General features: G+C 38.0%; 1 protein-coding gene across 4 annotated transcripts in view, besides 2 other annotated features; it reads right to left on the bottom strand.

Moving 5' to 3' along the window:
* CDK14 (cyclin dependent kinase 14) overlaps positions 1–27,600 on the bottom strand; it is a 614,270-nt gene that overhangs the window by 39,013 nt on the left and 547,657 nt on the right. The gene's annotated exons all lie outside the window — the stretch shown is intronic.
* Positions 181–3,022: an enhancer, noted in NCBI's record as "VISTA enhancer hs1631". NCBI's record gives its function as "enhancer in: somite[10/13]" and the evidence as "EXISTENCE:transgenic organism evidence [ECO:0001131][PMID:17130149]".
* Positions 20,057–23,679: an enhancer, noted in NCBI's record as "VISTA enhancer hs1633". NCBI's record gives its function as "enhancer in: forebrain[8/8]" and the evidence as "EXISTENCE:transgenic organism evidence [ECO:0001131][PMID:17130149]".

The following is a 27,600-nucleotide window of genomic DNA, read 5'->3' as shown; positions in this document are numbered from 1 at the left end:
GGCCTCAAATTATGTAGTGTCAAGAAAGTTATTTCCATGTGTTTTTATGTGCTTACATTTTAAGAGACCATAGTTTCAAGTGGTATTTTCTCCAATATTAAAAAACATTATTCTACATACTAATAAAAGCATCTTTTAGTTCATATAACAACACTAGTCATAGCAAATATGGAGATGAAGTCTGCTTCAAATGGAAAAGTCAGTTTATTTTTATTTTTTAATTTTTTTTAGATGCAGTGTTGCCCTGTCACCCAGGCTGGAGTGCAGTGGCGCGATCTCGGCTCACTGCAAGCTCCACCTCCCGGGTTCAAGCCATTCTCCTGCCTCAGCCTCCTGAGTAGCCGGGATTACAGGCGCCCGCCACCACGCCCAGCTAATTTTTTTGTATTTTTAGTAGAGATGGGGTTTCACTGTGTTAGCGAGGATGGTCTCAATCTTCTGACCTTGTGATCTGCCTGCCTCGGCCTCCCACAGTGCTGGGATTACAGGTGTGAGCCACTGCACCCAGCCCGGAAAAGCCAGTTTTTAAAAATTGGATTGATGGGAGACTGAGGTGGGTGGATCACCAAATCATCTGAGGTCAGGAGTTTGAGACCAGCCTGGCTGACATGGTGAAACCCTGTCTCTACTAAAAAATACAAAAATTAGCTGGGTATGGTGGTGCACACCTGTAGTCCCAGCTACTTAGGAGGCTGAGGCAGAAGAATCACTTGAACCCGGGAGGTGGAGGTTGCAGTGAGCTGAGATCATGCCACTGAACTCCAGCCTGGGTGGCAGAGTGAGACTGTGTCTCAAAAAAAAAAAAAAAGAAAAAAAAAAAGATTGAAAACAGAATTTACAAACGAGTTTTTTGTAAAAGTTAATTGGTTATGACAAAATCATTTAAAATTATTTTCCTTTTTATTTGGTATTCTTCATTGTAAATAATTGAATACAAGCTAATCAAAATTATTTTTAATTAACAAATCAATTTTCACTGAGGGGAAATGATTTATTTCTATCTCTCCACTTTAAAAATAATTTTTCTATGTGGACAGGAGTACCAAGGTGTCAAATATCATGGTCTTCACTCTAAATATTATTTTAATAATGGTAACCCATGCAAATAACAATATACATTATTATTACACACACCCACATTGATTTATTTCTGCCATCATCAGAACTAAGCAGTAGATTCGGACACACTTGGTGGAGTCATTCATGATACTGAAACAATAAAATAGTTAAAAGGCATTATTTTTCCCAGTATATAAAATTAGCATGTAGGGAATGTTAAAAGAGCCCCAAAATCCAGTATCTTGTGGAGAAATATGCTAAAATGAGCATTTATTATTATTTTTAGGACTATTAATGAAGTTTGGACTCCAGTCCTTTCCATATCTGTGAACACACGGGGAACAACTTATCATAGCATCACTATTTGACCTCTAAGGAACAGCTCGTGTCATCACAGAGCAAAAGTGCTGGCAAAACATTTATCTAGATAAAAGACCTCAAGCAGTTAACCTGCTCAGCAGAGGCAATGCAACCAGGCAACAGGATAATGACCTCTATCCAAATGTGGAAGGTACCTCAATTTAAAACCCTGACAGCTTGACAAAAGATGATGGCAGCTCAGCAGGAAAACATTAGCCATGATAACGCAGGGTACTGTATGTGAAAAGAATGAATTATAAAGCACAATGCTATTTGGGCCGAGTAGGGATTTTTGTTTTTTTAACCAACTTTATACTTAGGACGGTAGTCATGCCTAAAGCCTCCCTCCATTCTTTTCTACCTGAAGAATATCCTGATAAAAGTAAAAAGGCAGTGTGGATTAAATTGACAGCTTAAACACAAATCGAGTTTCTGAACTAAGCCAGGAAAATGCTGCACATCATTTCTGGCAGGCTTGTTACTGTTTCAGAGTAGAAAAACCTGGTCATTGGTAAATTGGCTTAATCCACTTGAGGAAAAACTGGTAACTCAAATAAGTGTGAACAAGACCAGGCTTACTGTGTGTATTATTTTGTTTTATTTTTAAAGGGAGAGGGTACTTGGCCCGCTTTGGGGTGCTTTAGATCTTCAGCTGTAAAATGTCCCTACTGCAAATTCAGTTTAAAAAAACAATTTAATTTTAGAGTAGTAGCATGATCATGCTTGTATGTTTATTCAAGGACCTTTACTCTGTGACAGGGTTTCAGCCTGTGAGGTTTTCTCTACACATGGCAGGCAGCTGTCAGAACCAGTGTGAGGGGTGAAAGGGCAGCCCAGCTGCTCTGTTAAATCATGGGGTTCCATCAACATCTCAGAATTCCTGCCGAGTGGGAGCTGGGAGACCACAGATTAGAGTACACTGGAGTGTGTATATTAGGTCACTCGGTGTCTATCAAAGCGGTATCACGCCGGTGAGCTGTACAATAGATTTTACTGTGTTCTGTTCAAAGAAAATGTAAGGAAAGTGGACATGTGTGTAGCAGACCATAGCTGAACACTGAATTCTTCTTGTCTTTAAATGGATGGATTTATTATCCACAAGATGAACGAAGAGTAGGAGCACAATCAACAGCTATGGAAAACATGCGAGGCTGATGGTTTCTATTCAGTGCTTGGAAATAACTGTTCAGCAGATGTGTATGAAGCAGATGAGTCCACGGCCCAGCACAGTGGAGGGGGAGGGGGCCGGATCATGGCTGTGATCCTGGACCATGAACTTGTTTTATGACTCTGGATGGTCACTTCCCTTCAGTTTCACAAAACTTTAATGTCCTCATTTGTGAATTGAAAATAATAATCTCCCTTGTCTTATCTACATCTCAAAACCCGTTAATAAAAAATGAATTCCTAAATGAGAAAAGACTTTTAAAATGTTGAGAGGTATGAAGCATGATGGTATAAAGTGTGATACTTAATTAAGAAATAAAATGTAACTTGTGTTAGTGGATATTTGGTCTACATGTAAAATAGAAAACATCTGCTCCTTTATTACCTATTGTTTAATTTCTTTTTAAGAGAGAAAAATTCATGTTCCCCAATGCATCATATAATCTTTAAAAAGATAATAGATAAAAGGTGAATAGCATCATGCCTGGCAAGTAAGGTGAAACTTTAAACAGCTTTAAAAATTTGTGTTATATTTTAATTTCTCAATTATAACTCTGTAAGAGGTTTCTTGACTGTAATAAATATATACCTGAATTTATGTTAATGATAACTAATACTAACAAAATGTTTCCTATGTGCCAGGCCCTGTTCTAACTACATTACAAAAGTTAATTTATTTAATTCACATAACCATATGTAAAGTGGCCCAATTATCTTTTTTTTTTTTTTTTGAGACAGAGTCTCACACTGTCGCCAGGCTGGAATGCAGTGGCATGGTCTCGGCTCACTGCGACCTCCGCCTCCCGGGTTCAAGCAATTCTCCTGCCTCAGTATCCCGAGTAGCTGGGATTACAGACGTGCGCCACCACGCCCAGCTAATTTTTGTATTTTTAGTAGAGACGGGGTTTTACCATGTTGGCCAGGGTGGTCTCGATCTCCTGACCTCGTGATCCAGCCACCTTGGCCTCCCAAAGTGCTGGGATTACAGGCATAAGCCAACATGCCCGGCCCCAATTATCAGTTTTTAGGTTATAGCACCCTCTTCCAAAATATAAGGCTCTGCATTATAATCTCACTTTGGGTTAAATACATTTTCTAATCTTGTAAAATGTGAACAGCCAACTACCTTCTACACAACAATTTCATTTTTTACCCTATGTGGTAGACACTATTCTTTTCCCATTTTTTTAAGATGAAAATATTATTTCCTAAGAGGTTAAGTGATTTGCACAGCAACAAAATGGCAAACCTAGCATTCACATGTAGGCAGTCGGCTGTACGGCCTCTCTTTGCATCAGAGGGCCTGAAGCCATCTATTATTTGGGGGCAACATCATGGTGTCCACTTGGATCATTTGGGATCCAAAATGAAGATACCAGGTTGAGAGCTAATTAGTCACCCAGGAAATAACTCCAACATGCGCACTGAGACTGGCTCACGTTGGAGCCATGACCCTATCTACATTATATAAGAACAATCAGCTGGGCAGTTAGCTGTTTCAGTGTGAATGTAGCAATGGCTGCCATGTCCAAAGCACTTTCCAGGAGAGGAAGCTGAAAAGCTACCTTATGGCCTCATGTTGACATTTATCCAGGTGAATTGCAACTTGAAATGTACTTCTAACATTTGCTACTGTGAGTGCAGAAAAGACGTCATATAATAAGGCAAATGTGGAGAGCCCTTTGTTTCTCCTTTTTTAAAAAATTAGAACTATTTTTCAACGTTGGTTGGAAACAAGTCCATGAAGAAAATCTTTAGAAGACAGTAAAGAAATTCTGAGATTGAATTCCATTTTGTCTGTGTGTTGTTCGGTGACAAAAGACTGTGAAATACAAATAGGCATAGATAGAGCTGTATATAACAGCTTTGTGGCTTTCCCTTCAATAAACTCAGAGATTGTCTTTGTATCCAGTGACCTTTTAGGGGGATTTAAAATAAAAACTAAAACGACACAGTACAATTTGTCTATACTAAAGGCCCAATTATAACTCTCAGTCTCATCTTTCATGGTTACTTCTCAAAATTCTGCCTAGGTGAGAAAGAACTGAAAAATATTCCTCTTTTCTGGATAATATTATCAAATGAAGTGAGGGCCTGGGCGGTTGCCCTCACTGGTGATTGATTCTTTAATGAGCTTCACCTGCAGGCCCAAGAGCACAGAGACTGCCCAGCTCTCTAGATTTTAAAATAGTGATCAATTCAGACACACATTGGGTTGTGTTGTTGGGACTAGTCAGAAGAACTGTTGTATATTCTCTGAATGACAAAAACTGAAATTGAGATATATTTACAAACACATTCACACATACTCAGGGGCCTTATGAATAAAAAGCGAAAATGCCAAATTACTCGGATGCCTCTACACTCTATCAGTATCTTATGAAAAGCATAAGGCTCTGCATTATGATCCCTTCTAGGTTAAACACATTTAAAAATCTTATAAAATACGAATAATATAAATAATCTGAATGCTTTCTATGATACAATTTCATTTCATAGATTAATGTATCAGTAGAGTAGCTATAAGCTGCTGTTTTTCTTTTTAAAAAATTAATTAATAGGCACTTCAAGTTTAGCCTCTTCACAAGGCCATCCTATTTATTTATACATTTTATTAATTCTGAAGCCAGTAGCTCCTCAATGGTGTATTTATGTTCAACTAGGTCAGGTCCACTGGGATGATATTTGGTCTTTCACAGAAGACACACTGAGCCTGTAAAGACAGCAGGCTCAAACTACCAAACACACTTCCTTTCCTAAGATTTGACTACATGAATTTGTTAGACTTCAGTGAAAAAATATAGGAATCCAGATATGCATTTCATAAGTCTCTCTACATAAGACCTTCTACACATAAGGGTGTCAGTAACACGTTGCCTCCTTACTAGGGAAGCAGGCATTTGGCAAACAGTCCATTTGTGATAGTTGGTTTGTGTAGCTTGGTGTAGTAGTTTGAAGGGCACCCACAAATACCAATAGAGGGAAATACTGAAAACTGTTCTCTCACATTACATTAGTTTGCTTAAAAAGTATGCATGTGCTAACCAAGCCTACAAATCACTAATTGTCAAGTATGCTGCAACAGAATAAAATTTAGCACAGAAAATACTTAGGTGAGATAAAAAACATTGATGTTTATATTTCTCAATAAATCTATGATTGATTACTTTGATAGTGATAATGCCATAGAGATAACTTTATAAATACTAACAATGCAGAGGGTTTGACATTTAAAATGTTCAAATGCAAGATGACATTCTTACTTCCCCTTTCAGAAATGTTATGCATGGATTACTTTCAGAACTATTTGAGCCAAGCCCTGTTGATGAGTAAACGTTAAAAGCAGCTGGGATGTCCACTTTCTTGGTGTTTCTGCTCTATGATTTTACTCGGTGGAATGTGATGAGCACTATTACCTTTTGAAACTATTACTAGCCAGAACTCACTGATGACTTAGTACAGAACACTGGAGTTGAAAGGAGTCCTGGAGACCCAAAACTCTCTCCTCATTCCACAAAAGGGAACCAGAGGCCCCACGGAGATTAAATGGCATGCTCAAGGCCACAGCTAGTTAGTGACAAGGTTTAGCCCAAAACTCATGTATTTGGACTCCTAACACGGTGCTCATTTGCTCTGTTACCCTTAGTGTGATGAAAGACAGATAAATGGCACAAACTCCTTACAGTTTCTATGTCAGCACATGATTATTAGATGTACGCTGTTGACTCTGAATGCTCTGAGGTTGGAAGAAATGTGCAACAATCTAAATGTCACAGGCCTGGAAGTAATCAAAAGGAAACTGAATGTTAGTTACTACTGTGCATAATGCTTGCAACATATCTGTGGTTGGTTGCAATGTACTATTAGAGCGTGGGTTTTTGTTGTGACTGTATGAACCAGGCCGCATAGGGAACGCTGAAGAGCGATCACAAAAATACCTTTCTTTCCCTACTGTCCCTCAAGCAGCAGGGATCAAATAACTGTTTCTCAGCTGTCAGTCTTTTAAACAAAAATATCTCCTTCACTCTATGTGTATCTGTGGCAAGTTAGTGTCTGTTTCCTCTTCTTTTTTCTGTTCTATTTTTTAGACCCCAACCTTGGATCACCAGGGGATACTGGGACTAGAAAGGGACTGACATGATGTTTTACAAATTTATCTTGGATTTCTTCAGTACGTCACAGTTTGTGTTCAATAAAGGCAGGCAGTGTAGAGCAGGCAGGCAGAAAACAGTCTACAACTGGATATTGGGAGTGCAGAATCATCTGCTGCCAGTCTGGACACTGGAAGGGCTTTCCACTCTGAGTATGACAGTTTCCATTTGTATTTCGGGCCAGCTGCTATTATGCCAACAATGTAATAATGGTGTGTTTTATTCATCTGCAACATAGCCAAATCTTCCTGCATTTGTCTAGGAAATCACAAAGCTTGATGAGACCTGGAGGAGCCATCTTTCATCCTCCTTACTTCCTAACTACACACAAATCCCCCAATTCCTTTACCCTGACTCTGGCCTGATCACTTACTAGCTGGACATGTTTCTTAATCTTTACTTTGCCATGGTAGCCTCATGTGGTAAATGGGGCTGACGATAGTAGCTCTCTCTTCGGGTTGTTGTAAGGATTTAATGAGTAACACGTACAGGACTTTAATAGGGCCTGGCATATAGGCACTATATAAATATTAATTATTGTAATTATTATTTCCACTCAACAAAATTAAGACTTCCTCATAGTTTTGGATCTCAGCTGATTGTAATCACTTGTTCATCAGTGGTAGAATGGTTTGTTAACTAATGAACATCATATAGCTATACCGTAATTTATTCAACCATTCACTTATTATTGGACATTTAGTGTGTTGCCAACGTTCTGCTATGTAAGTAATATTGTATGCTACGTGCCCTGTCAAGCATCTATCCTTATAGTTTCCTTACGAGGTGGATGTTTTAAATCCAACTCATAATTTCAAAATGAGGCCACTATGTCTTAGGCAATATGAATCCAATATGACCACACAACTAGTAGGTGTTATTGCAAAACTTGAGCCCATGCCTTGGACCCTAAAGCCTTAATCAATTGCCTACCTATCTTCTTAGCCTAAATGGTTATAATAACAATTAATTTGTAAAACTAATGTTACAAACTCAATTTTTCCAGAATTTTTTTCATATGGATCATCTTATTCCTTAATAATTCTGAATATTACCAGCAGCTGGGAGTGGGGTAGGGTGAGGGAGGAAAGGAAGTTGTTGGTCAAAGGGTATAAAGTTTCAACTGGACAAGAGAAATAAGTTTTGAGATCTACTGCACAAGTAGGGTGACTACAGTCAATAATACTGTATTATGTATTTCAAAGTAAGAGTAAATTTCAAATTTCCAATGCAAAAAACGGTAAGTAAGTGAGGTGATGGATATGTCAATTAGCTTGATTTAATCATTCCACATTGTATGCATGTATCAAATCATCACCTTATACCCCATACATCTATACAATTGTAATTTGTCAATTAAAAATATTAAAAAAGGAATTCAGAGTAACTGCAGTGATATTTTCCCCTTGAGTCCAAACTCCTCAATTTAAAAGCTCTGACCTGTTGTTAGGAACGCTTACATTGCAACACCGTCAGCAGCTTTGTCAAATCTTGCGCTGGATTCTAAAGGACCTAGTCACTTCCTTGCATCCATTTATTCCCAACTGCCTGGACCAGCAAGACATGAAGAATAGACATGAATAGCACAGAATAGACATGAAGAGCAATTTCTGGGGCTGGAGGGGATAATATAACTATGATCCAGCAAGAAGATCTTCTTTGCTGCTTTCACCTACTACAAGCTTGTACAACACATTTAATACAATCTAATACCTTGTGGGTCAGGGAGAAACTCCCATCATCACTATTGGGAGTGGTGTGAACAATTATATACAAGTGCTAGTTTTAGGAACATACAGATAGATTTGGTGTTTTGAAGACAGGGATGGTAACTGAGGAACAACTATATAAGTGTGCTGCCTGCACAACTGGTATTACTGTGCACTTAGGGGCCCCAACATTTCCCAGAGAAAGGAGTTGGGATGGCACTAGCGACACCACACATCCAAGCTGAGGCTGCCCTCTCCAACTACCTGCCCCTTCCCTAAGAGCACCTATAACTCTAATAATTATGGTTAAAGTTTATGGATCGCTTACCATGTGCCTTGTGTCTGTCTCCACTCTACATACTTTATATGTATTAATTCAATCTATTTAATGTAATCCTCACAACGATACTATGAGGTAGATATGACTATTATTTTCTTCATATGGTAAATGAGGAACCAGAAGTGTAGAGAGGGTAAGTGACTTCCCGAAGTTACAGAGTCAGTAAGTACTAAGCCTGGGACTTGACTCTGGTAGTCTGACCTTGCGGCCTTTGCTCTTTGTCACTACAGATGCTCTATAGGCCAACAGCTGGCCCTGGGGCCTGGCTCCTCTCCCTCCCCTAACCTTCCCGGTTTCCTGCCCAGTTCAACGTGACTTCCTCCCATTTGTTCCTCCACTGGCACCTTCACAGAACTGACCGCTCTCCAGGCGTGAGCTTCCCAGTGGGTCTCCTAGCTCCCACCTTCCCCATTCCCAAAAACATTCTTTCCACCTGTGCCATGAAGCCTTCTGGGAGAGTGAAAGAAATTTAAACATAGCAGAGAAACACAAAAATTACTTCCTTTCCATACAAGGCTTAAATGATTACTAAGAATATCTGAAAAATAAATATTTAATACATAAAAGGGAAAATTGTCAGAATCCTTATGTAATCTAATGTTTCCATGTGTTACAAAGTCCCCCACTGAGGGTTTTCCAAAAGTCTGTCCATGCTAATCCCACTGGCCTGTGAGAGAAGGCAGTGACTGTACACTTTTATGTGCCTCTCTTTCTTAGTTTTTAAAAAATAACAAACATTTAAGATATCAAGAGAAAAGTTACTCTTGCCTAAGTGTCAAGCTTGGAGAGGGCAGAATAGCTAATCTACTTTCTCGACTTCCGTGTAGGTTTTATTACTTCAGTGTTATATTAAAAATGTACTTAAATTTCATGTTGACATGCCATTTCATGAACTTTATTAGAAATTATTGATTCACAAATGAGGGGAAGTCTAAGACTAATATTTTATTTATTATGTTCTAGCTATGTGCCGAATGTCAAGAAGGATTTAGCAGTATCTTATAGCTTTGTTGTTTTAATATTCAGTTTAACTATTTATTTTGCAATCATTTCTTAGATTTTAAGTCATTTTAGGTGTATGTGAATTCATTTATTATTAGAAGTTGTCTGCCTCAAATGTTTTGAAACAGTAAAGGAAAGGATTTGTTAAAAAGGGAATGTAACTAAAATAATGAAGAGATTGATGACTTCACTGTAAAAGCATGATTTTTTAACCTTCACTCCGCAGCCATTTTTAAAATTAGCCTATCATGAAAACAACTTGTGCTGTTATTTGTAATCAAAATATTACATTATTTCTCACTCTGCTCTGGTAGTGTAGAAAAACACACCGCTCTAAACAATAAACCTTGCATTTTAGTAACCTCACCACTCAGATTTTTCTCAGGATATACTGTGAATTATACAGAAAATGTCTTGCTTTCCAAAAGAAGTAAATTCAGTTTTTTGGCTTTACATCCCACTCTAAGAAACCCACTCTCTGGCCCGTGTTGCCATCATAGCATGTCCTGGCTGTCCCACCACTGATTCTGCGCCTTGGGAGGCTCCTTCCTGAATCCTCTCCGTCTACTCCCTACCTCTACACCACAATATCCATAATCCTATCAACCCGTCCAGACCCAGATCAAATGCACTTCCACCATTAGTCTTCCAAGTCAGAGGCAGTGTCCCTCTGTTCAGAATTTTGACACCAATTGCCCATATCTCTTTCACATTGCTTCTCTGCTGATACGCCTTTCCAAGGTGTATGTGGGTCTCCACATTTCTCTTCCCAATTAAACTCTGAGCTCCCAGAGATCAGTGACTCTGGAGAGAGTCAATAATTTATTTTATATTTTGTATTGTATATAAATTTGTGAGCTGCCTCCAGCCTCATGATAAACAATTGTATAAATATATAATGCTTACAATGCAATTATAGAATAAAGAAATGAGGATATTTAAATGTATGGGCCTGTAAGAGTAATTGTATTATTTTGTAGTGACCCCTTATATTCTGAAAAACCCATAACATCCATGTACATAACTAGGCTTGTTAAATATATTATAATAAAGTAAATAAAAAGGAAATAGCAAGCATGGAATATAGTAAAAGGAGTTTGAAACAGAGAAAGAAAATCTTTAAAAATATATATAGTATAAATATTTGATTACCTGTAAAAGTGGACAAGTAAAATCAATAGATAACTACACACCAAATTTTGGCTATAGGTTTCAATAATCTGTTGAACAGAACATTTCAGTACAAGTATTTATAGACTGCAGGCTATGTATATGAATTTATATCCCCCCCCATCATAACATAATCTTTATACATATATTATCCAGATGGTGATTGGGGACTTTCCTGCTCTTTAAGTCTGGGTAAAACTGGTAGGGACCCTGCCAATTCCACAGCCCAGGGAAGTCCACAGTCCCCAAGGTATCTATAAATTCCAGGGTGGAGGTGGTACTTATGCTCTCAGGGGCCTGGGCTGGAATGGGCCATGCACAATAAATTGTAGCTCACATTAGATGCTTCCAGTGCAATTTGCTGATGATGGGGAAGGCAGAGCCGAGGGCACAGGGTCTTTTGACACTCAGATGATTCATTTCTCCCTATTATTTTTCATTTTCTTTCATCTTCATTTTCTCCCTCCTGAACAAAGTAATTCGGATTTTCTAAAGGAAATCTTTGTATCATCTCATTTTCCCAATCTGAGTGGATCACATTCCTAAGTATAATCTCTAATCAGTATTTCTTCAGACAAAAGCAGTATGCTTCTTGAGACAAATTCAAATCCTAGCTGTTAACCAGTAAAAATGACTTCCCATCACACTCATGCATTGAAAAGGTAGTATATTGTTAAGAAGCTGAAAACAAGAGGAAAACCGAGCTCACCAGAACTCAGCAGCTCTATTGCCGTGCCACTACAGCTCCCTCACCATCCATGACTGAGGGTACAGGTGTCCCATAAACACCACCATGGCCATACCCCAGAACCCACCACCAAGTCGCATTGGGAACCTCCTGTCCTGGGCTGGTAACCTCAGTTTTGGTCCCATCGCCTAACTTCTGGCGGACTCTTGGTTGTCATGCACAACTCAGACAGCTGCTTTCTGTCCATTGTTGTTTCCTTCCCCGGCTCATTGAGATTACTGTGGTCTGGAGCCCATTGGCCAGCTCCACTTCGCCTTGCTGCTGGGCACATCCTCTGCTCCCATCGGTCCAGACAGCAAGCTTGGGCCAACACTTTAGATAATATGGACCTTGAATAATTGGCTATGGGTAATTGATAATTAGATCTATTTTAGATTTCAGATATCATTTCCAAATGTCCAAGTGTTTATAATTCTCATGATGCTAAGTTATTCATATCTACAGAATGCTTATTTTCACCACTGAGGCAGTAGGCAGACAGAGGATGATTAAGTGTTATCTTAGAAAATAAGAGCAGGCAACAGCATGACCATGCTGAGTCTCTTAGTTAACAGGCCAATCTATGGCCATGAAGTTGTTAGATGTGAGCAGCCAGAAGTACTGGGTTCCATACCTTTTAATCACCTTCATTTTTCTTGGCAAAATTGTTTCCACAATTTGTTTTTTGTTAGAAAACACAGTATCCCACAGTCATGATACCAAGCCAGCATGTTCTCTGTTTCCAGTTAAAAGAAATATAAAGATGCCAGAAAATATTTGCCCAAACAGTGCTGTTTTTCATTAGAATGACACTTTTGGAGCCTGGTTACTACAATATCAACTCTACTTTGTTCTATTACCATGAAGCACAACATTGAAATAGACATTTTTTCTATCAGCAACATATCACATTTGTTGGCTATTAAATAAAGTGTTCACAGATATTAAAAGTTGTTTTTCCTTCTGGTAAAAGCACATTATTGAAATACAACATAATTCCCACTTTCTTTTCAAGCCCTAAAGTTCAAGAACCTAACTTTTTGGGGGGTTGCCTCTAGACAGCCAGGGCATTACATGTCACCTGTGACCTGACTGTATCTAAGCTGGACAAAGATGTCAACCCTTTGACCATCAATTCCTTACCTCTGACGGGGTAGAGGGACCACTTACTCACATTCCTGCCTTAGAACAACCTCTCACAGTCTTCCTTTCTATGGCAATTTTCATTATAATATACTTATCTTGGAAAGCACACATTACTTCACAGAAAAACTTCTCCAAAACTAGAGAATATTTCATATTCCATTAAAATGCAAATTGTGACAAATTCTACATCTCCATTGTAATGAGTCTGGAAGTGCAACAACCTAATGGATGTCAAAAATTTCTATGTTTGGCCTGTAATCTCAGCACTTTGGGAGGTCAAGGCAGGCAGATCGCTTGAGCTGCGGAGTTTGAGACTAGCTTGAGAAACACGGCAAAACCCTGTGCGTATAAAAAATAAAAAGAAAAATTAGCTGGGCATGATAGCATGTGCCTGTAGTTCTAGCTACTCGGCAGGCTGAGGTGGGCAGAATGCTTGAGCGCGGGAGGTCGAGACTGCAGTGAGTCAAGATTGCACCACTGCACTCCAGCCTAGGCTGCAGAATGGGAGCTTATATATACAAAATATATATTTGCCAAACATATAATATATTATATATATTTTATGTATATTTAATGTATAATATATTTAATGTATATTTATGTATAATGTATATAATGTATATATACTGTTTATATATAAATATTTATATATATTTAATGTATATAATTAATGTATATAATATAATATATTATATAAAAAATGTTTGGCAAATGGATATTGAGAAAAAAGTTTCTTGGGAGTTATGAAACTCATCATGGCTTTGAGAAATACAGTGGCATCCCAGATGGCACGTGCCAGACCAGAAGCTCCTGTGGCCATGATAGACCAGGGTATTTGACCAAGAATACTCATTGTAAAGTGGGACTCGGCACTGGATGACAGGGGCAGCAGCTACCACATACTGCTTATTCATTATATGCTAGGAATTACAGATACTAATGCCCATTTGCCCAACCATCCTGCAAGGTCAGCAAATGAGAGTGTGGAGAACTTTCCATGTGCCATGCAGGAGCTAGTCTAAGAGCTTTACATGTATCATTACAGTCACTTCTCATCATACATCTGTGGGATATGAGTATGATTGCCGTCACTCTCTAGATGGGAAATGGGGGCTTCTTTCCCAAGGCCACAAAGTTAATACCTGTCAGAGAAGCTTTCAAACCAGGACAGTTAACTCCGGAACTGGAACTCCTAATGGCCATGCTACAATGACCCAATGCCTCTCAGGTAATAGGAGGCATTTGACATCTGTCCTCTCTCATTTAACTCACAGCATCAGCTTTGTAAGATTAGCAGTATCATTCATACTTGTAAATGAAGAAAATGAGCCTTGGAGAGATTCAGTCACTTGTCCATGGACACACAGTTAGCAAGAAGTGATGTGCTGGGATTTGAACCCAGGTCTACATGAATCTGAAGTATGACTAGAAGCACTATGGGGCCTTTGAGGATCAAGCCACAGTGAGCCTCTTGCTCTTCATGGATAAGCTGATTGCGGCCCGAGTTTAGGTGCTCATGTTCCAAAATCTAAGGAGACATGACGTAATTTTAGCAAGAAATTGCTTTTCATACACACATTCTTTCTTCTCATAGAGAAAGAGAAAATATGAAACGTGTGATTCAGCAACCTCTCTGATGAACTTTATTTTGCATCCTAATTCAGAGCCAAATTCCCAACTCTTTTTCCACGTTTCCCTGTTTGAAATCTCTCTGAGCACTTAAGATACCTAAGTCACAAGGATGGAATTTAATTCCTAGAGACATGTAATGCACAAAATATGGAAATGATAGCTGCTTAAAATAAAATATAGTTGTATCATCCAAGTGAAGGCCCATCCAAAAATGGCATTTCAAACCCCCAACATTTCCTTAAGTGCTATTTGCATGTTCTTCAGTTTTGTCTACAGTGTTTTATGGGGCTGCTCATGCTCCAAGTGTGGACCCTGCCAAGAGGCTCAGCATAAAATGGTTTCAAATGCAGAGAATGTGATGGGAATCTCATTTGAAACCATATGGCTTTTCATAAATGCTCCAAATGGCCACCACTTATAGGTACAAGATTTAAAAAATAATCCTCCCACCATTAAAAATATATGAATAAATAAACGATGGCAATGACTTCCTTTTCCCCACTGGATTTGGGGATGGGTTGGGGAGTACGAATTGCTTCTGCTCTGCGGCTGATTTTCAGTTCCGATAACTCATCTTTATTCATTTCCTTTCAGTCATGGTGAGCCATATTGAGAGCAGCTGTAGGCAAGAGAGAGCGAGAAGAAAAAAAAAAGAAAAGGATCTCCTCACTCCCTCCTTAAATCGTTGTCAAACAGCCGTTCTAAAGAATCCATCGGGGCTCATTGCTGTGCTGGGCAACCAAGAAGTAATAGAAAACAGGACAAAGAACAGTTTAAGCCAAATTTAATGAAGAGATTTAAAAATTATCCAACCACATATTTTGGGGAAAAATCAACCTTGGAATGATTTAATTCAAAGTCAGGTAGACCAGGTCTATAGGGAAATTATATTTCAAATTAAATTAAAAAACAAACAACAAATTGTACTTTAAAGGTGATGGGAAACACCAGTAGTGGGCAACTAGTTAATGAGAGGTCTGGCGGCCTATTCCAGACAAAGTTACTTAGAAAGTTAGAAGGTGATAAATGAGTGCCAACAAGCTAGGCCTTAAAATGTAATAACAGCGAACTGATTATGGGAAATCAACTGGTACAAAGTGGAATGAAATTAAAAATGATTTTAAATTAGTGATAGAGTTTTTATATCTCAAAATGTCTTTCCAGGTTTTACCCAGCAAGTGAATTAGGGGTCAAAACTTAGTTTTATTTTGTTTTTAAATTTTGGACAAATGTTAAATAATTTTTGGATCAAGCTTAGCCTGAGCTAGGAAGTAAATGCTTTTAACATTTTGTTTAAAATGATTTCATCTGTTTTAATATATAAACCCAACAGAAATCTTGTTAATGGGTCATTCTACTATACTTCAATGACACAAAAATGGCCTCAGTTTCAAAGGGGAGACTTTGCAAGTTATTATTGTATAAAACATTGCAATCTTGTTTATTTTCTAGTATTTTTGTTCATGTGTTTTTAATGGTTACATGAACCAAATGCTTAGGCAACTGTGTCAAAGATGATAGTGAATAAGAAACAAAGATCTGTTACACTGTGAGTTGGAGAACTAACTGCTTCACAAGTTTTCTTAAAATGTGGCTAATGGAATAAAAAGAATTCTAAGTTGTGTTTGAAAACAACCAATAAAACATAGTGACTAAAATTCACAAAGAAAGTTTTGAGAAGCTAGGAAAAAAATGAACAAAAGAACCATCATGAAATACACAAAGAAAATGCAAACTCTTTTACCTTTCATTTATTAACTAGAATTAGTAATTTTCTTTACTTCCCATCACCTTTGGACGTTTTGCTATTTGGCATTGCTGACTACCCTCTTCTTTGTGACATTTATCCTTGTATGGTTCCCACAACTATGATTCTCTGTTCACCTCTGCAATGGCATCTTCTCAGATCCTTGGCTAGCTGGTCTTCCTTCCTGCTGTTCCTTCTCTCTACTTTCCTCCAGCAGTCTAGGATCCTAAGCCCTGTCCTCTCAATCCTCACTTTTCCTGGGAGTCTACCCATTTTCATGTCAATAGTTCACTTCTGATCATTACCAAATCAACATGCCCTTCCTCGTTCTTTACCCTGAAATCTATAGTCACTAGCCTGTGTCCATCTCCCACTGTGTCCACTTCAGTATGCCCTAAGCCAGAGGCCACTTTCATCACTGAAACATCCACTTCCCTAGGCTTAAAACGTTTGGCTCATTTTTTCACTTATCTCCCTTCTTTGGCCTATATAGCCAATTAGTCACCAAATATGACTGATTTGTCAAAGATTTCTCTCTGTATCTTTCTTCTCATTAATTTGACCCAGGCTCTCATCATTTCAAAGCTAAATTACTGCCATAATAATACTAACAACAACTCAATAACGTCAGCTAGAATGTGCCAAGCAGTGCTCTAATTGCTTCAAATGAATTATCTCATTACACAGGAAGAAACCAAGGCACAAAGATTAAGTTATTTGACCGAGGTGACACAGTAAGAGAAGCCAGGATTTGAACCCAGCCATCTGAGATGGAATTGCTTCTCACAGAATTTCTCTTCCAAGATGTGCTGCATACTATATCCACTTAATTTTTCTAAAAGTGTTTTAAAGGTGGCAATATGTACCAGCAACCTTAATTATCCATATCTGTTGGCTTGAAATTTATTTTGACTTAAAATTTCTGAAAGTGTATCTTAAGGATATAATTAGCAATGTAGGGAAAGATTTATATACAGAGATCTTCATGGCAACATGAATCATGTAGTTAGGACTTGGAAACAACTTTAATGTTCAATGGTTGGCCAAACACAACTGTGGCACATTCATATTAAGGAAAATACACCAAGCAGAAGAGGATTTGATGACATGGGGAAATATTCAAGATTTACTAAGCAGAAAAAAAAGGAGATTATAAAAGTTAAGTAAAGTATAACCCCAATTCTGTTTAAAAAAAAAAAGCAAAGACAAATAATAAAACCCCTAAAACCTGGAAATATATTAAAATGTTAAGATGGAAAAATGTTAAAATCAAAATTGTTTCTGAGGTTTGGTGACTTTAAGAGATTTATTTTCATGCTTTTGCAAAATTTTTCAATGAACATATTTACACATTGCAGTCAGAACTCCCTCCCATAGTAAACGTTATTCAAATCCCACTACTTCCATAGTGTAATTTCCCTGCTCAAAGACACAACTATAAATACTTTTGTTTTTTTGTCAACTTAATTTTCTTTTTTTAAAAACTTTTAAGTTCAGGGGTACATATGCAGGTTTGTTACATAGGTAAGCTCGTGTCATGGGAGTTTGTTGGACAGATTATTTCGTTACCCAGGTAGTATGCCTAGTACCCATTAGTTATTTTTCCTGATCCTCTCCCTCATCCCATCTTCCATCCTCTGATAAGCCCCAGTATGTGTTGTTTCCCTCTATGTGTCCATGTGTTCTCATCACTTACTTCTGACTTGTAAGTAAGAACATCCAGTATTTGATTTTCCGTTCCTGCATTAGTTTGCCAGAGAAAATGGCCTCCAGCTCCATCCATGTCCCTGCAAAGGACATGATCTCATTCTTTTTTATGGCTGCACAGTATTCCATGGTGTATATGTGCCATATTTTCTTTATTTAGTCTATCATTGGTGGGCATTTAGGTTGATTCCATGTCTTTGCTAATGTGAGTAATGCTGCAATGAACATATGTGTGCATGTGTCTTTGTAAGAGAATGATTTATATTCCTTTGAGCATAATGGGATTGCTGGGTCAAATGACAGTTCTGCTTTTAGCTCCTTGAGGAATCACCACACTGTCGTCTACAGTGGTGGAACTAATTTACACTCACACCAACACTGTACAAGCATTCCTTCTTTTCCATAACCTCACCAGCATCTGTTATTATAAATACTTATTGTTTGCTGCATCAAGTTGAAAGTTTCTCTGCCTAGAATTCAAGTTCCTGAGTCTAGGGCTTCTTGTTAGTTTTTCAATGCATGTCTGCATCTTTCCAGGAGAATCTTTGACCCCTGCCATGCCAGTCTCCTAGCTATGCTGCCCTGATCCATTCCCACCAGCCCTACAGCTGGCCACAGCTCCACTCCATCTCTAACCCCTCACTGAAACAGATGTATCAATCTCTCCCTTGAATTCTTCAGAGCATAGCTTTGACTTATTTATACTATAAACTATTTGGGGCTTCTTTCTGTTCTTGACATACATGGAAAATGGTACTCAACCTGTGGGGCATATAGTTATTATATAAGATCATTCTTACCATAGGCAAATCAGGAAAATGGTGTTACTAGTGCTTCCCACATTTATGTGCTAGAGTTTTAATGCTGACATGCTAACCTGAGTTGCTCTTCTCTGTCTCCTACATCATATTTTTTCACACTTGGGCTACAGCACTTCCTACCTATATCAACTTTACATGCATGTCTCTCTTGCTCATTTGTCAGTTCCCTAAGCACTGTGATAATATCTAATTATTTCTAAGCTTTACAGCCCCAGCACATAGCACATAGTACTCAATAAAGATTTATTGAACAAATGACAGATTACAGGAAATAGATGAATCTTTATGTAAAATAAGTACAGGTTGTTTGAAGAAAATTCTGGAAGCAACTTTCACATGACTTATGAATGCAACACAACATAAGCACCAGAAATAATTCAATGAATGAAATGAATTAGATAAATATTAAAGCTAAAGAATATGTTCTATATCCACTTAGCTTTGCCAGATAGCTAAGAGATGCATAGAAGTAAACCCAAAAATGTAATATAATGAAATTCTTACCCATCATAGTAATTTCTGATATTATATGATTTAGTAATGAAATAAGTGAAGGAGACAAAAAAGAATTTTGACTGATTGTGATTCCCAAGTGGTAATTCTAGTTGGTATGCTTCCCCACTCTATTCTAAATTACTCTTAAGTTGCTATGTTTCTATGGAGACCAAAAGATCATACCACGATTCACAAGACACAACACTATGAATAAGCGGTCTATGTGGGGAGCTATAATTTTTCCGTGAGGCTTTGGAGAAGTTGTAACCACATGAGGAAAGTATGACTGGTTTACAAAGCCAACCAAGCCCATTGGTAGCATTTAAGAACACCATAATCCCAAACACACAAGTTCGGTTTTATGTAATGCATGGGTATAACTCCAACTGAGTCTGCATACTGCAAGGACTGTTCCATCTCATGTTGGCCTTAATTTCCATTGCTTTAGACTACCTCACTTTTCTGTTTTGGGCTTGATGGGCTATAACATTACATCATAGGTGGGCAAAACTGAGACTCCTTTCTCCATCTTAGTGACCATGAAATGTAGGCATTTAGCTACCACTGAATTCTGTCACCCATCTAGGCATGAGTATGGATCAAAGGCAGAAGATGCAGAGAAAAGGGAAGCATTTTTTCTTTTCTGCATCCATGATACAATGAACACAAGTGACCTTTTAGAACCAAATGTGGACCGCCAAGAGGGATGTCATTCCAAACCAGCTTCTATTTAGATTGTTGTAAAAGCATGGCAAATATTATTTAAAATAGCATTGTTAAGAAATCAACCAGAGAAACAAAAGTCAGGAAATAAAAAAGGTATGGTTTTAAATGAAACCCCATCATAACTCTGGAGTTAGAGAAACTCAGGTCCAGCCCCCAACTTTATAGGCTAACTACATTTGCTCAGGCTTTTAACAGGTGAAATTATGTTTTGCATGAATGAGAGCATGATTAAATTCATAGTTGTCTGGATTTGAATAGCAACAAGCCACTTTTAATAGGTCTATTCTGTATCAGGGATATGATTTGAAATGAGTGGATTCTGTGATGAGGATGCTCCCACTGGACTTGTACCTGTTAGCAAATCAGACTCACTTTGAAACTGGGACTTTTGAGTTCTCAGTCCCAAATTATGAGACAGCCTAAAGACTGGGGTGTGGGAATGAGAAGGGTAAGAGCAAGAGGCTGAATACTAAAGCAGAAACACAGGGAGTATTCCCACCAAGGGAACTCCAGTTTTAAGAATAAATTATGTCTGCTTCATGGGATATACAATCCTCGGGACACTGCAGGCATTAAATAGAAAATATTAATAATGACATCTGTGTCCTTCAGCAGAGTTCTTCACACAAACACAATAAAAATACTTTATGCATTAATGAGGCAAATAAGAAATAGGAATCTTGTATTTATTATAGTAATACCTAATTCATTTTGATTCAGATCTATCTTTCAGGCTAAAAGGCCTGACAGATCTGAATCAAAATTTAAATTTTAATGTTCTTTAAAGAGATAAAAATGTATTATCCTTAAATATATATAGAAACTAGAAGAAAGCTAACTTCATCAACTAGAGGTCCTTCCTGGGCTCACTTGGACTCAGAATATTAACAGTAATTCTAACATGCTTGAAAATAGTTTTCCTAATAGGACAAATCCTATCCTTTGTGTTTCTCTTCAGAACCATTGTTGACTTAACAACTATTTTTCATAGATGGAGTAAAGGCCAAATTCTTACTAAAAATGATTATATACTAAATAAAGTTTAAGTGTTTAAAAACTTGTATAAATTTAGTGTGATCCTATATATGTTTGGGTGTGTGTGAACACATGTAGAAACACACACATACACAATGAGAACATAAACCTTAGGGCTTTCTAGTCCTTTTAGACCAATCTGGAAAAAAAAAATCACAACTGTTTGAAATACATGTAAATATATGAGAGCAGCAAATGTAAATGGATTGACTAACTAGCTTTCACTAAATAGATAATTAATTGGTTAATCTATTTTAATTTAAAAGGAGACTTGGAAATGAAAATTACATTTTAAAGACATATTTTAAACACGAAATGTCCCCCGTAAACAGCCAGCAGGCAAGAGGTATTATATCCTGGCATTAAAAGGGTTAAATGCACCATTGAATGTCCCTTCCACTTCCTCCTGACCAGAAGATGTTGTAATTTTTTGGATTTATGAATTGGCCAGGCCAGTCAGCATCTTGAACACAACAGACTCTGCCTAGATCTATCCCTTACCTGCTGAGAAGAGACAATTCCCCTCACACTTGGAACCCTGAAGCCCTTTAAGCTGCTTGCTCTGTAACCGTGGCAGCTGGGCCCTACACAATTCTTCATCTCCTGCTACCAGGGCTCACTAAATAAAAACTATGGTGCCTTGTTAGCCAACAACTGAGCGTGAAATCACTACATCGCAATCCCCTACTTTCTGAGTCAATCAATTTTCCCCCATCACTACAGATTTGGATGCACAGGGTCAGTAAAGAGAGGGGGAAAACAGAGTGGAAGAAAATGAATGTATCAGGGCAACCAGAACACACCCATATGGCCTAGTTAATTCTGTACAGTGAAATTAGTGCATTCACATAAAACAGTTTAGAGCTAGCTAATGAAACCAACATGTGTGCTATCTAATGTCATCATCATGCTTTGAACTTGCACAGGATATATAGTGGAGAGAACTGTAGAGACAGATATGGGGCCAAGAACAAGCTTTTGTCAGCCTAAAATTGCTAACAGATTAGAGTCTGTCTGACAAGGCACTAAGATTGTAACATATGTTCTTTTTAAGGAGTATTAACATTTTATGCATTAGCTACATGTTAACAGAGAGAGAGCTTAAACTGCTAAAAACTATTAGAATATCATTTGCAGTCCATCAGCAATTTGCTTCCACACTTGGAATTCCATGTGTGCCTGCATGGGAGGATGGGGTACTCAAGTAAGGTGGCACAAAGGGAAGAGAAGGAAAGTCAAAAAGGAAAGAGCATGAAGAAATAGGCTGTAACGTGCTGAAAGTGGTGCCTTTTTTTTTTTTATGAAGCTCCCAAAGTGAATGGCACGTTCGGAAAATGGTTTCAGAAGAGGGAAGAAATGTTTTGAAATATTGAAATAAAGCCATTTTCAATGTTTCTTCCCACCTAAATAACATCTCATATCTGTTACTACTTCCCTTCTTCAAGGGCTATGTACTCAGTATCTTGATATGGACCTTTTGCTTGTATATTGCAATGATTCCTTTCTCAACAGGGCAAAATTGTTTTATAGCAAAAGTCAAGGTGTTAAATAAATGTTATTATTAACAGTAAGCCAGGACTACTGGTCCATCCGAAGTACTCTAAAATCATTAGGTCTCCACTCCAGGGCACAGTCTCCCTGATTACAGGTTTTCACATATGGTGTCTCATGTTTTTATATAAAATTTCAATAACTGATGCTGTTGGTCTGCAGCCCCTTACAGGCAGTAGGTATATCTCCCATAGTGCCTGGTAAATAGCAAGAACTGAACAAACATTTGTTGGCTTGTACTAATATGAAGGAAATGAAAAAAAAATAATACTGCAAAGGAAGACATCCCACCAGCGGCCTATTTATACACCCCTCTCAGGATTTCCCAGGGACTCCTGGGTGTGCCTGACCATGGTCCTCGTTCCTCTGACCAGACTCACTGATTGTTGTCTATCTCTCCCCAAAGAATGCAATGTCCTTAAGAGTGGACACTATGGCTCACCTGACATTGTAGCCTAAACATCTAGGTCAGGCTGTACTCAGAGGGGCACTCCACTTTTTACCCTAAGGCACCAATGCTAACTATTACCTCACAAACTTCATACCCACCCAGGAAGCTACCGTCATATCTTATCAGAGGAAATGGAAATGGAAGATTCCTATGTGGGTAAAATGTAGTTATATGCACATCATTATCTATTTGCAAATTCCTTTTTTTTGGAGACAGGGTCTCGCTTGATTGCCCAGGCTGGAATGCAGTGGCATGATCATAGTTCACTACAGCCTTGACCTCCACAGCCCAAGTGATTTCCCCACCTCAGCTGGGACCACAGGTACATGCCACCACACTGGACCTGGCTAATTTTTAAAATTTTTTTGTAGAGATGGGGTCTCTCTAACTTGCCCAAGCTGGTGTGGAACTGCTGGGCTCAAGGTGTGATCCTCCTGCCTTATCCTCTCAAAGTGCTGAGATTACAGGCGTGAATCACCACACCTGGCCTGCAAATTCCCTTTAAAAATCCATTTTTATTTCAGACTATACAGCTTAATTTTATTCAAACATACTCAGAAGCCAGAGATAGCTATTGATTATATATGCATATGTGTGTATACATGTAAGTATGTGTGTGGATAGACATATAAGCATTTAACCCAAGGTCTCTTTTTACTACTTGACTGATTCCCTGATGATGACTTTAATGTTAAACGTGCTAATTTTAAAGTCAAACATAATTAGAAACAAAGACAAAAATAAAAGTTATCAAGTATTATCATACCAAAGGGTTGAACAATTTCAGAGTTGGTCATTATCCTGAATTTTTCATGTACCCATCCAGGCTTTAATGGGGGGGAGGGGGGAAAGAGTTTGGTTTGAATCCTGGGACTCACAGCTCCACTTCAAATATAGCAAGTAGACAGTATCTACAATAAAGTGCAATATAATTGTCATATATGCAAACATAATCTGTTAGGAGAAAGGCAACATGGTTTACATGTAGAGAAGGCATGTCTCGCCAATCATTCTGAGTTATCTGAGACAGTAAATAAGCAGAGGATATAATTTATAAACTTTCAGAAAGCCCTTGACAAGGTTCTTCATCAAAGACAGTTTAGAAAAATAGAGTTAACATGGGGCTGGGGAGAATGTTTTCTCCGGGAAAGAAAACTTTGATTAAAGAGGGGAAATAATGAGTCAAACCAACATTTTCCATCAGAGAAGTGTTAAAAGTAACTAGCAGCCAGCATTAGTTGGACTTTCTTTCTAATATTGAAAATTATCTCGGAGTAAGAGAGAGAGTACACTCAAAAAAGAAAAAAAAAGGCAAATCTTGCAGGACACATCTGCCTCTTCCAAGTGATAAAATACCTAAAACCATGGGAAGAAGTGTGTGTGTGTGTGTGTGTGTGTGTGTGTGTGTGTGTGTGTGTGAGAGAGAGAGAGAGAGAGAGACAGAGAGAGGTGCTAGTGGAGGTGGGGCTGTTGGAACCCTGAAAGTGATGACACAGGTGATCATCAGACGATGCTGATGAAGCAAATGATGCTCCTTATTCTTTTACCAAACTGACTTGTCTACACCCACCCAATTTGTGTGAGTTTGATTACGACATCCTGCAAGATACATGATTAGAAAAGTCCCATAAAATTGTAGAAATAGAATATTCTAAATATTGTGTTTAAAAGTGGAGGGAAATAATTTCATTGATAGGTATGTGTATAATCAAAGAAAAAAGGAGGCAGATGGAAGAAGGTAGAAAATGCGGGTTGTTCAGCATGGAAAAATGGAAGTTGAGATTGGAATGACTGGAAAAATTTGTAGAATGGCAAAGGACAAAAGTGGGGTATCATCATACTCACTGCCTGAACAATATAACTTGCTATTGCCATGTACATTTGTATGTCTTTGCTGTGTCAAATAACTGGATCTGATTTTAACTCTTTCTAAGTGGTAAAAGCAATGCATTTTTACTCTTCAAATTCAGATATTGAATACGTATTAAAATATGTATGCTTAACTGTAATCCTCTCCCCATCAACAATTAGGAACATGTTTCTCCAATTACTGTTGGCACGACTACCAATTAGAACCTCAGCGCTGGGCACGGTGGCTCACGCCTGTGAACCTAGCACTGTGGGAGGCTGAGGCAAGCAGATCACCTGAGGTCATGAGTTCAAGACCAGCAGGGCCGGCATGGCAAAACCCTGACTCTACTAAAAATACAAAAATTAGCCAGGCATGGTGGTGGGCACCTGTAATCCCAAATACTCAGGAGGCTGAGGCGGGAGAATCACTTGAACCTGGGAGTTGGAGGTTGCAGTGAGCCAATATTGCGCTATTGCACTCCAGCCTGGGCAACAGAGCAAGACTCTGTCTCAATCAATCAATCAATCCATCAATCAATAAGAACCCCAGATTGTATAGCTACATGTTTTAGCCCCCTTTTCAAAGTATATGTTCTCCTTGGTACTTATTTTGACATTCTGATTTTTCTACATATGCTTTATCAACCTCTTCATTAAACCATCATTGTCTATTTTGAGAGATAACTGCACAGCTTCCCATTGTGTGTTTTAAATGTTATTGTTCAGTTTGAGTCAAATAAAAGGATATTTAATCTGTGATGCCTTGACATAAAAAATAAATAAATAAATAAATAAATAAATAAATAAATAAAGCAAGCCAGGTTAATCCCTTTGAAGTTTAAAGGGCTTGTTTAGGACACAGGATAGGAAAGACTTAGATTTACCCAACAGGTAGCTCTTCAAGGGAAAGCATCTAGTGACAAATTTAAATAGACTTAAGGAGTTTGGGAAATTCAGAGAGGCTAGATACATAACAAGTTAATAAGGAAGATGAGCAGCTTCTTGTTGCCTATTCATCTTTTGAAATTATCATCAAGACAGTTATGCCTGCTCACTGAATTTCCTTAGGGACAGGAGCTGAAGAGTGACCAGCCTGGCAAGCCATTTCTTCCATTTCCTCCATTAACACAGAAAATTGAGCATGGATTGTGAACGTTGCATTAGCTATCATTGTTGTCAACACTAGTCACTAATGACCCAATTTGAGGGAGAAGGGGTGGAGGGGAGAAGGGCCCACTCAAACAACGGTTACTGTCTAGAAATGTAAAATGTCTTTTTTGAGGTAATTAAAATTTTTTTGCGACTTTTAAAGACTGGCTTTCTTATGTGCAGTGTGGCATAGAACAGCTTGTAGGCTGCAGATCAATAAATTCCAGTTAACTTTCAAGTCATGTTGGCATGCAGCCCTGGCTGATTTATTAATTTAAATTTCAGCCCTCTAAAAAAAAGTATGTCTAAAGAAATAAGGCACTATATGGATCGCAGTGAGATTGCTCAATCGGAACAGGTCTTCACATACATTGGTTATCAATATCAATAGGAAATCTTAAAACACTGAAGAGAATAGGTCATCCCTCCCTCTGTCGTATCCAGTTAGTGTTTTTCTTAGGAATCCTGACTACCAATTCTTTTTGTTTTTAAGAGTAGTTGATACCTGAAACACTCATGGCTTAACTCACATAAGCTTCAGCAAATAGTTAAGTAAGAATAAAAAGGTGAAAATGAAAGGAAAGTAGTGCGATCCATCTGAGTGTTCAAATCCTTAGGAAGGAACAGTCTCCCTTATTTCTCTTTTCTCTGCCCTTATGTCCCTAATACCTATCTAATTCTAAGGATATAACCCAAAAGTCTCATAGTAGCAACAAAATGCTAGAAGTTGCTTATGTTTTTCTTTTTAATCATCTCTCTCTTGCATGTTTTACCTTTGATTCTTCACATTGTTTTTAACAATTTTTCCAAGCCCGCCAATATCTACCAGTGGATTACCCCTTTTTGGACACTTGCTCCAGGCACTTTAGAAATCCTGGCCAAAATTGTTGGTATTTTAAGGCACCAAACTACTTTTACTATGAGACTATCAAAAATTACTCTGATGATACAGCGTGGTCCAAACACTGCATCCTCAAACTCAATGATTTCTGTTATCTGCGTCGCTTCTCCCTTGTGTCAACATAAATAAGGGAAAGCTGTCTGAATCTATTAAAAATGGTCAGTCTAAAGCTGCAGTTGAATTCTACTGCACCTACTGCATTTTTGATCCTGAAAGAAATATTTGTGAAATGCCAATACCATCCAAATATGGCCCATAATAATAGAATCTCAAGCATATATTTTTTAAAAACAAATGCTTATGTAGAAATTGCAAATGTTTTCAGACCAACTGTGCCTTCATTAAATTTATAGAGAACATTATCATTTTATTAATAACTGTGATATCTATTTGAAAAACCAACATGATTCTAAAGACAGATTTATACTTTTTATTTCTTACTGCATTCAGTTTTAATGAAGGTTCTGGAGCTTCTCAGTAACAGTGAAATTGTATTTAAATGGGGCCTTTAGGGTGTTCAAGTTACAGATTAATTAACTTGATCTGGTAAGGGTTTTGGGGGCACTGTAGTTCTTGAACCTCTAATTTTATCCTTAGAGGTAGCCAAAGCTTCTCTAGACATTAGCAACTAAATAGCTGCACAGGCTTAGATTATGACTGAAACATCTAAAATAATGCAGGCTTGTCAGAAGATAGAATAAAA

This window comes from Homo sapiens, chromosome 7 (genome assembly GCF_000001405.40).
Source record: "Homo sapiens chromosome 7, GRCh38.p14 Primary Assembly".
Taxonomy (NCBI): domain Eukaryota; kingdom Metazoa; phylum Chordata; class Mammalia; order Primates; family Hominidae; genus Homo; species Homo sapiens.
The sequence above is the reverse complement of the archived record's forward strand: the minus strand, read 5'-3'. Positions and strand labels throughout refer to the sequence as shown.